The sequence below is a fragment of the Homo sapiens genome, chromosome 7 (genome assembly GCF_000001405.40).
Source record: "Homo sapiens chromosome 7, GRCh38.p14 Primary Assembly".
Taxonomy (NCBI): domain Eukaryota; kingdom Metazoa; phylum Chordata; class Mammalia; order Primates; family Hominidae; genus Homo; species Homo sapiens.
This window is the reverse complement of record NC_000007.14, coordinates 31199023-31210320: the sequence shown is the minus strand read 5'-3', so window position 1 is coordinate 31210320 and position 11298 is coordinate 31199023. Positions and strand designations below refer to the sequence as shown.

General features: G+C 44.4%; 1 long non-coding RNA gene across 1 annotated transcript in view; it reads right to left on the bottom strand.

Annotated features, from left to right (window-relative positions):
* Window positions 1-1896: 1896 nt before the first annotated feature.
* Window positions 1897-11298, bottom strand: part of LOC107986781 (uncharacterized) — a 73782-nt gene continuing 64380 nt past the window's right edge. The window contains exon 3 of the long non-coding RNA XR_001745159.1: window positions 1897-2016. This is a non-coding gene — a long non-coding RNA (uncharacterized LOC107986781). The remainder of the gene's footprint in view (window positions 2017-11298) is intronic.

The following is an 11298-nucleotide window of genomic DNA, read 5'->3' as shown; positions in this document are numbered from 1 at the left end:
CAGAAAATTCCAGAAATAAATAATTCTCAAGTTTGAAGTTGTCTGCCATTCTAAGCAGTGTAAGGAAATCTCATGCCACCTCACTTTGTCCCCTCTAGGACATGAATCTTCCCTTTGTCCAGCATATCCACACTGTAGACATTACCCGCCCGTGAGTCCCTAGTAGCCCTTTCAGTGACCAGATAAACTATGGCAGTATTGCAGTGCTTGTATTCAAGTAACCCTTATTTTACTTAATAATACTTTACCAATAATAATTGTTATTGTTGTTAATCTCTTACTGTGCCTAATGTATAAATTAAACTTTATCATAGGTGTGTATATGATATACTTTGGATATTTGTCTCCCTAAATCTGTTGAAATGTAATCCTCAGTGCTGGAGGGAGGGCCTAGTGGGAGGTGTCTCAATCCTGGGGGCAGATCCCTCATGGCTTGGTGCTGTCCTCACAATAGTGACTTTGTTCTCCTGCGATCTGGCTGTTTAAAGTGTTTAAAGCACCTCCCCCTCTCTTGCTTCTGCATGTGACTTGCCTGCTCTCTCTTCACCTTCCAAGAGTGTAAGCTTCCTGAGGCCTTCCCAGAAGCAGATGTCGGAGCTATGCTTCCTGTATGGCCTGCAGAACCATGAGCCAAATAAACCTCTTTTCTTTATAAACTGCCCAGTCATAGATATTCCTTTATAGCAATGCAAGAACAAACTAACACAACATATATAGGAAAGAAACATGGTATATATAGGGTTTGGTACTATGCACGGTTTCAGGCATCCACTGGGGGTCTTAGGACATATCTTGCAAGGATAAAGGGGGGCTACTGCATGCATGTATCCATTGAATACTTTCCTTCCAGCATCTTCCGCAGCCTCTCCATTCCCACTGGTCTCATGGCAGATCACCCTTCTCTAAATTACCCAAATTTCAATTCACATACCACTGTTATCCTAAAACATAGCCCAAAAATATATCTCTACTAAAAAAAAAGTTGCCACGATTTCCCAGTGACTCCAGATGCAGAAAAAAATCCTTAGCCCAAGTACTGAGTCTTCTCCAAGTCCCCTCTCCACTCTTCTCCACTCTTCTGTGTATGTCCCAGAAGCCTCACTTCTCAGGATGAACACTAGGAGCTCTTGCTTTCTGACTTTCAGTTGGGTTTAACCAAAGGGATATATCAGCACCTTGAGTGAAGTGTGGGAAAAGAGAAAGCCACCTTATTCTCTTCTGCCAGAACATGGTTTTAGAAGCAGCTGTATTTCTCTACATAAGGCCACATTCCTGCCAGGCATCCTTCTCCCACAGCACAGCTCTTTCCAGGTTCTGGTAACATGATCCTCTTGCCCATTCAGGACTAAAGGTGACAGTAGCTTCCCTCATTAAACTCTTCAATTTTATCCCGTTTTTAAAGTGTGCCGTCTACTTCTTGCCAAGACCTTGACTAATATAGAGTAGTTCTAGAAAACAGACTCTCAAAAACGGATTTGGGGATTGAGTTGCCCACATATCTCATGAAAGCACAAGCAAACTCCTTGCCAGAGAAAAACACACAGTGGTAATTTATGACATGCTATCATCATGAAGACTCAAATTATCATTATCCCCTAACTATTCCCCTAAGAAGACTTGGATGATGCTTTACCAAGGAACTTAGAAATGTATTGGTAAGGGGAGCACCAGCACCCTTGAAAGCCCCTGAGGCAGTGATGTTATGCAGGAGGCGGTGGTGGAAGTTGGCATTGAGTTTCTGGATTTTGATGGAAATAATGGGATCTCAGGGTGGTAGAAAGCAGATGGTAGTGCTTAATCATCACATGGAATTACCCTAGAAGCCAGGAAAGGGATCAGAAAAGATAAGTAGAGACAGGTTGCCTTCACGTGCAAGGGAAAACTACCTACATTATAAGGGCTCTGTTCACTCCCTGGCCCTCTGTCACAATACAGTCCAAGATGATCTTGATTGCCTTGATATCCCGCAGAATATGACACTGGTCCATTTCATCATTGACATTGTGCTAGTTGGATCTGGAAGACAGATAGTAGTGAGAGTTCCAGATGTCAGTGGTCTGGGAGAATGGCAGCGTGTCATCGCTTCAAAAGTATGAGACAAATATTTTACCTTGACTCACTTTCCACAAAGAGGAGTAAGGTTTGGGGGCCCTCTTTGGATTCTAGGAACATAAGTGTGCTGCTCTGACCCAAGTTCTGGGTCAACTGTGAGGCTGCCAGTTTTGATCTAAAAAGGCTCTGCAGCAGAGATAGACCACCATTCAAACTGCCTAGCCACCAGTCATATCCAACTGAACTGGAAGCGTTTGTTGCAGAGATGCTGAATGGAGGCTCTGGCTAGCCACAGTAGGAGAAGCACAGAACGCTTCCCTTGGGATTCACTGTATGGCTGTGCCAATTTCTGCCAACTAAAATTGTCCATTAAAAAGGCTGATCCAGATTTGATTTGCTACTAAGCCTAGTAAGGACTAAAAACCTGACCATTGAACACCAAGTGCTGCCTATCATGAACTAGATGTAGTTTGATTGACCAAATTATAAAATTGGATGTGCACAGCAGCATCTCATTGTCAAATGGAACTGGTATGCATAAGACTTGACCTGAGCAAGCCTAGAAGGGACAAGTGAACAGCATAGACAGGTGGCTCAGCCTCCCATAGCACCTGCTCCTCCTGCTGCATTCCCTCTTTCCCAGTCCCAACCATGGCATGTTGGAGAGCTCTCTATTACTAGTTAGTGGGGGAAGAGAAAGCATGGGCTGGGCTACTTGTGAGTTTTCCAGTCTACTGGCACCAGACAGAAGTCAAAGCTGATTATATTACAGCCTATTTAGGTGTACCCCTGAAAGACAGTGGGGAAGAAAAATCCTCCCAGTGATTCATATTGGGGGAAATACATCTAGCTGTCCACTTTATGAGCAAGAAAAGATGACCTCATGTATAAATCTATACTGATTCACAATTAATGCCCAAAGTGTTGGTTAGAAGGTCAAGTGTTTGGAAAGAACAAGATCAGAAAAAAGGTGACAAGGAGGTCTGAAGGAAAGGTAGGCAGGTAACTTCTAGGAATGGGCACAATGTATGAAGATACTTGAGACTCACATTGATTTCTACCATAGGACATCCACTGAGGAAGAGAATCTCAGTAACTGAGGAAGAGAATCTCAGTAATCTGGTGGACAAGGTGACCTGTCTGGTGGATGTCACTCAGCTTCTTTCTCCAGCCACCACAATGCTTGTTCAATGGTTCCATGTACAAAGTGGTCATGGTGGTGGAAATGGAGCCCACAAGTGAGCATAAGATGAACTTTCCCACACCAACACTGATTTGGTGACCTGCAGTGCTGAGTCCCCAGACAGCCATCAGCAAAGACCAACCCTGAGCATCCACTATGACATCTTTCTGGGCAGCAAAATGACTAAAGAATTTTTCATAAAATAAAACAGATCTACTTTACAAGACTCTTCTCTGTTCTGAGAATAGGTCCTTCTACTTTTTGGTGTGAAAATATGTTTTATTTGATAACATAACAATAACAGGAAATAGTAGGTTTGTCGTTTTTATTATTTGCTTGTTACTCAGTATTTATACTTGGCAAAATAAAATGTGGCCACCTTACATTGGTTTCTGGAAATTTTGCTAGTTTGTGAAATCCAAAGATCTGGAAACCATGTATTGGATGCTTTAATTAAGAGTACTGTAGCCCCTCCCAATGGTCAGTTCCAGCCCCAACTCTTCTAAGCTCTGGAGGGAATTTATTTCACCTTTTTGGACATCAGTTTTCTCATTGACCTCATGAGGTTGGGGGGAAATTAAATGAGGTATTGCATAAAATGTGCTTCTTTCACTCAGTATCTGGTACTTAATAAGAGCACAATAAACTGATATTATTATCAGTGTATTATATTTTTACAATTTTTTATTGACAAAATTATATAAATCTATGATGTTTTACAATATCTACACATTGAGGAATGGCAGTAGGTGAGAGGACGCATCTCATCTACTTGTGTTATTTTTTATTATTTTTGCTATTATTATTACTGCTATTACAATCGTTAGCAATTGGTCCAAAACATAGCAAAAAAGAAGTTATTGGAAATGTTCTGCTCACTTTGAATAGGTGTCTCAGAATGCTACATCTCCTACTCTCAGGACACAATGCAATTTCCTGGATTAAGCACCGATTTTGGAATCAAGGGACCTCTGCCTAATCACGTCTCATCTGCAACATGAGAAGATGAGAGGAAATGGTCTCCAAGGTCCTTTAAGGCATTGACATTGTTTGGCTATAGGGAACCTCTTCAAAATGGTCGTAAACTCAGTGCCTCTTCATTAGGAAAAGAAAATGATTGGGAGGCTGAGGCAGGCGGATCACGAGGTCAGGAGTTTGAGACAAGCCTGGCCAACATGGTGAAACCCTGTCTCTACTAAAAATACAAAAATTATCCAGGCGTGGTGGCGGGAGCCTGTAATCCCAGCTACTCCGGAGGCTGAGGCAGGAGAATCGCTTGAAACCAGAAGGCGGAGGTTGCAGTGAGCCAAGATCGCGCCACTGCACTCCAGCCTGGGTGACAGAGCAAGACTCTGTCTCAAAAAAAAAAAAAGAAGAAATAAAAAGGAAAAGAGAATGAGTATGGGAGTACCGCGACTCAAACAAGTTTGCTTTCTTGACCCCTTTTTTTTAGGCAAAATTTACAAAACATAAAATTAACCCACTTTAAAGTGTGCAATTCAGCGGCATTTAGCACATTTAAAGTTGTGCAACCACCACGTCTACCTAGTTCCAAAACATTTTCATCATCCCAAAAGAAAACCCAATTACCTATTAAGCAGTCACTTCCCATTTCTTCTCCTCTCTCCAGCACTTAACCACCAATCTGCTTTCTGCCTTTACGAATGTACCTATTCTGGATATTTTGTGTAAGTGGAATTATACAATATGTAACTTTTTGTGTCTGGCTTCTTTCACTTAGCATGTCTTCAAGGTTCATCTATGTTGTAGCTTGTTTCAGTACTTCATTCCTTTTTATAGCTCCATAATATTCCATTTTATGTGTATACCACAATTTATTAATCCATTCATCCATTGAGGGACATTTGAGTTGTAGCCACTTCTTAATCACTCATTTCATTTAATGATTCCCAGTGTCATTATTCCTATTTTTTTAATTTGCCTCCCTTATTTTTCAATAAAAGACATCCAAAACCATTCAACACATCAGTTAACAGTAAAGGATCCATATTCCAGCAGGGCCTTATTTCAAAAGACATTTTTTGGTGAAACAGCATCCTCCATGACCCAAATCATTTTCTCGTCTCAGAGAGTGGCGATATTTAAAATGTGTACTCTAGAAAAAGCCCTGAATGCAAGAGCTACACTGACTCCATAATTTGCAAATGACTGTATCTATAAACAAACAAACAGCAAACATGTTTTAGACAAGCAAAGAAAAACAGAGTGGCTCAGTGAAAACTTTGGAGGGCAGGTGGTACATTCTGTCGTATCAAGAGATAATTTTGGACAAGTCAGTAAGATGGCAGAGGTGGCTTGTCTTCACGGCGCTGGTCTCCTCTCTGAATGGGTGATCAGAAAGAGTTCCTCCCTGAGTATCAGAGGGTAGATACCAAAAAATACCCTTCTATCAACTCTTCTACTTCTTCCCAGTCACTCAGTCCCCTCAATGCAAACCAGCAGCATGAGGACTGCTTCTTTAATTGGATAACCAACTCCCAGAAAGAGCAGGAAGAGTGTGGTTCCACACCAGAGGTCATGTAGCCTGCTGAGTCGATTATCTGATTTGGAGGTAAACCTAAGTCCATGGCCTCTCGATACGGGTTATCCAAATGTAAGGATTTTGTTATCACTTGCTTTGAAGTGCCTTTCCCTCCCACTTAGATTCTGCTGCCTCATATGATGAATCCTGTCCCTGAAACTGCCTCACCCAAAGTTGTGTCTATACCCCACTGAGAGAAATAGAGATCTGGCAACGATCCAGTTCATTTGATCAACATAGCTGGCAGAACCAGATAATTTAAGCTCCAAATTTCCCCATTAATCAAAATAGTCTGGTGACGGATACATCTGCTTTTACTTTGGGTTGTGTAGACACAGTTTAATTGTGCATTTCCTAAAAGCAGAATTGTATCATCTGTAACATTCACAGAGCTCTTCCTGCCCACATTTCTTTCCCAGCCTGTTGACTGAACAGATAACTCAGTAATTAAAATTCATAATCAACACATGTTGAGTATTTTTCCTTTCTCCTGTCTTCACAATCCTTTCCACTAACTTCTAGGTGATTTGCCAACTGTTCCACTCCTCAGAAGCAAATAGTAGAGGTTATCTTTGCATAGGACCACCACATTGGTCATTTTTCTTAACCCTGTCTTCTTTCCTATACCTCAGCCCCAAGCCCTGCCACCTCTGGATGGAGGCACTGCAGAAACACTGACAGTTCTGACTCTATCTCAAAGCCCAGCTGGAGAATAATGCCACTGGGTCAACAGCTCTGATCCCTCTCATTGGAAGGTCTGTGAGTCCTGGACAAGTTCCAGTCCTGGGGCCACTGGAATGGAACCTGACCTGGCCAACCAGACCTTGTGTTGAACAAATTGAGGGAACCGCCTGGTAGGCTGGCAGGCAGCAAAGGTTGCAGTTAACAGGAGGTAAGAGGATTCTTTGCAAAATGTTTGCCTGGAGCCACCAAACGGAAGCATTCTGAAAAGAAAGGCCAAGTATTTGATTTTGACTTAGGTTCTCTGGGAGTTGGCTATGCAAGGGTCACAGTCAGCATCAGTGAGTGGCAAAGATTATATGACTTCTGAAGCAAACCTAAACCAAAATTATGTTCAACTTCCTTAACTGGACAGGGACCCCAAAATCAGGTCTTCTGGAGTCCCTCCATGCCTCCCTTCCACATGGCAGCAGTTTCTTTCCTCCTCACCCCTTAGGAAAGTCCTCCCCATACACAGATCTTCCCTTTCCATAACAGTCCTGAAGCTACACCTGACTGAGCTATCAGCCTGTCCCCCCTTCAATGCCCTGCAGCCTTGCTCAGAGCCACAGGGACTTTGGGCTGAGAGAGGTTGCTGGCTCTTTAAAAATTTAAAGCATCGAGATTCAAAAGCTGTTGCATAATCCAATTAGAGAACCACTTTTAACTGGCTTGTGCATTCCTCTCAGACTCACCTTCATCAGAGCACATAAATGAGGATGCTCCTCACAGCTCCAGAAATCTGTGAAGCCGAGATGGTATTTTTAACGCAGCCATTTTAAACAATGTCTGTGCCGAACCACTTTTGCTTTCGCTGTTGGCGCAGGTGAGGAGCTGCCTAACAGCTGAGCTCAGATTCGACATGTGTGGCCCAGGGTGGGCCTTGGATTTTTCAAAGGGTAAGGTTTTCACACATGGAAAAGCACTCAAGTGTTTTCAGTATTCATGGCTCAGGATAGCTCCTTCATGCATAGTTCACAGACAAACAAGAAGAATCTAACAATGGAAATTCTATCACCTTATCTGTTTTGCTCTTTCTCCCATCTGGAAAACGCATGCACACACCTGAATAAATCACTTTCTTCTTGAATTCCAAAAAACTTTCATGATTGTACATAGAATCTTCTCCACGAGTGCTCAGAAGGGCTCTGCGTGTTCCTTAAACACTGAGGAAAATGATGTCACTTGACCCCGTAGCCTAGCATTCTTGACCCTGTAGCCTGGCATTCTTTACTCCAGCCAGAACCTGACCTAGAAGCAGTATAATTTCCTGAAGTTGTGAGATAAATAGGATGCTGGCTTCCCAGCGTGTGAGAGGCCAAGTGTCAGATTCCCTAGACTAAGGGATAACATGGTGCAATGCCCCATAGCCATGCCGTAGAGCAGCCTAAGATTGATCAGGACGGGATATCCCAGAAGCAGGGCTACCTGGTGACGCTGGTTGCTCTCTGTGAGAGGATGAGGCCCCATCACTCCAGCTCTCTTCCCAGAAGCCTGTGCAGCCCCACAGTAGCCTTGATTCTCTGGTCCCTCAAACTTGGTGGCTCTAAAATTGGGAACCTTTGGTCTCCCTACAGCCCCCCACAGGTCACGCTACCTTTGGTGGTGAAGTGGTCCGGAATATATCACTGGGGCATAAAAATGATTTTAAGCAGAAGGGATTTGAGTTTCTGAAATCTGCCTAAAAGCGGAGCCTCCCAAAAGAACTCAGTTGGCATAAACCCCCTCCCAGGAGTTTCTTGCAAGCAGGGAAGATTGACTCTCCTCATCAGACATGAGCCACTATCACAAAACTACATCTCCCATCTACCCTCTTAAGTACCCATTTATCTTTCCAAAAGTCATTTTTCCTCCCATAAAAATCCTTTCTCCCCCTCCCTTTCCTTTCAGATGCTACATAAGCCCCAAATTCTAACCATCTCCTTGAGTAGCATTTTTTGTGAACTCCACACTTACATGATTAAATCTGTTCTTCTCTCTTTCTAATCTGTCTTTTGTCAGTTTAATTCACAGGTCCCCAATCACTACATCTAAGACAGGAGAGGAAGAGTTTTTCTTCCCCTACAGTGGGGACAGGAGTGTATCTTCCACTTTCCCTCCAACCCACACTCTACCCTCTGCCCTCTGCCCTGGCCTAGGAGGTCACAAGATGGACTCCCTCAGCGGGCTCCCTTATCCTCTGGTTGCCAATTTGGTTTGGCCAATAGGGAGCATCAGCAACAGCTCAGAGCACAGAAGAATGAAGTCGTGGTGTTTATGCCCCTAGCTCCCCACCAGTGCTGTGGGGTCACTGTGGCATGTGGCTCTTGAAAGTCCTGGCTCCTGTAAGGGGACCCTCTCCACACAACTCCACACAGAGCCCTTCTGAGCACTCTAGGAGAAGATTGTATATACAATCACAAAAGTTTTTTGGAATTCAAGAAGAAAGTGAGTTACTCAGGTGTGTGTGTGCATTTTCCAGATGGGAGAAAAAGCAAAACAGATACAGTGATAGAATTTCTCCTGGGAACTACAGCACCCCTTGAAGTTTTCCTATCCCTGCTCTACCTTTGTAAATGGTCCTATACAAAACCTCTTCAAATTTCCCAGTGTGGATGTGCTACTTCTTGCCAGAACCTCCCCTGATGTGTGGGGAAAGCAGAAGGTGACCAGGGACCTGGGGGTGGTCTAAATGATCTTTGTGCCTAAGCCCCATTTCTGGGGAGTCCCTGGACTTCCACTGCTCTGACCCTCACTCCTGACCCGGCAGCAGGGAGTTGGCTGACTTTTGTGTGCCCCTTGGGGTGTGAAAACATTGTCACTGCTCTTGCCACAGAGGCCCAGACCTTGTGCTGATTACCAAAATGAGGGTCGTAACAGGATAAAACACACCCCACATTCCAGCACCCATAAGGAAAAAACAACCTCATCGTCTTATGTCCCTCTTCCACAAGAAAGTTTATTAAGTCTCCCCAAGGTAAGAGGGCTGATGAGCAATGGCACTCACTATGTATTCAAAAGGGCCTCCCATAGTGACATCATCTTGGTGGGCCCCAAGATAAAGCCCCATCTTCATTGTCTTCCCACAGGAAGCAAAGTCCTCACCTAACTGGACACTTCTATTAGGGTCTCTCCCTACCCTTCCCAAAAAATATGGTACAACTCTGCTCGTAACCCACTCGCTTGCACTATTTTCTTACGGGCCACGCAGTTCCATCTAAACTCCTTGGCCCGCCATTCAAGGCCCCTCAGAATCTGACCTCAATCTATCCTTCCATGTATAGCAGGTACTCCTGATCAACAAATCAGTCAGATGATCAAGGAGCTTATAGGCTGAGTCAAGGGTCTCAGTCTGCCTCATAGGTGATAAGGCCCTGGGTGGTGCGACAGGTAAGATGATGAGAATAAAAGATCACGCAGACATCAGTGTAGTGAAAGAACAGAAAGGAATTTAGAAAAGGTGAGAGTAGCCAAGGTGGGGATGGGGAAGAGGGGGAACCACAGCTTCCTTGGATGTGACCTTTGGTGAGGTTGGAGGGGTTGTGAGTGAGCCTGAGCCCCCTGAGGAGTGGCATGTGACATAGAACAAGCTGCTGGCAGCTCCCAGGGGAAGCAAGGAGTTGGAGTATCAACTGCTGCTGTGGCACCTGCTGGAGCCCACCCAATCCTCCAACCCTCCACACCAGGGAAGCTAGGAAAGGGAGGTGGGAGAGGCTAGAAGAAGGAAGGGAAAAGAGAGGTACAGTCTTAAAAGTGAAATTCTCTGGGTTCTGACAATGTCCTCTATTCTCACACCCTCTCTGCCCTTCCTTGGCATTCAAGAACCAGGATCAGACCCTGGCACTTAGGGAGTAAAAGGAGGCATCAGGAGTCCAGGCTGGGAGGCAGGGGTCAGGGTGGTGACTGCGCTGGGGGACCTCCTGCCAACCTTTGTGCCAAGACACTGGCTGGAGCAGCTGAGGATGGTCAGGAAGCCCCCAGGTGAGCAGAGAGGCTAAGGGTCCTTGTGTCCTGACTTCAGGGAGGCATCCACCTCTTAAAGATCTCCCTGGTTAAAGACCTGAAGAGTAATTCACAAAAGAAGAAATGAGTCAAAAAGTACATGTAATAGTGATCAACTTCACCAACCACCAAAGAAATGCAAATTAAGACAGGATACAGTTTTTCACATACCAAACTCTCAAAGCCCTAGAGAAAGATACTCCTTGTTGGAGAAGGCTAAAGCCACACAAGCAGTTATAAATTGTGGGTGGCCATGTGCAGCAGAGCAGTTCAACTGCAAGCATTGAAACCCTGGAGAGGAGGTGCCCCTGCCAGCCACCATCTCAATGGAATTTATCCCAAATGACAAATTCAGGGTGTGGCCAACATACTAAATCTCCTTGGATGACTACCTTTTGTTCAATCTTCAATTCTCCATAGTAGAGAACTGAAGATGATAGTTATTCCTTTGAACAAATTTATTTTTCTTGAGACAGAGTCTTGCTCTGTCACCCACGCTGGAGTACAGTGGTATGAACGTGACTCACCACAGCCTCAACTTGCTGGCTTCAAGTGATCCTCCCACCTCAGCCTCCCGAATAGCTGGTACCACAGGTGTGCACCACCTTGCCCGGCTAATTTTTTGTATTTTTGGTAGAGACAGAGTTTCACCATGTTAGCCAGGTTGGACTCGAATGCCTGGGCTCAAGTGATCCTCCTGCCTCAGCCTCCCAAAGTCCTGAGATTATGGATGTGAGCCACCACACCCGGCTGGTGAATTTAATAAGAAAACAGTACATATATGACGAAAACATCACCTTAGTGGCCATATAAACACAAG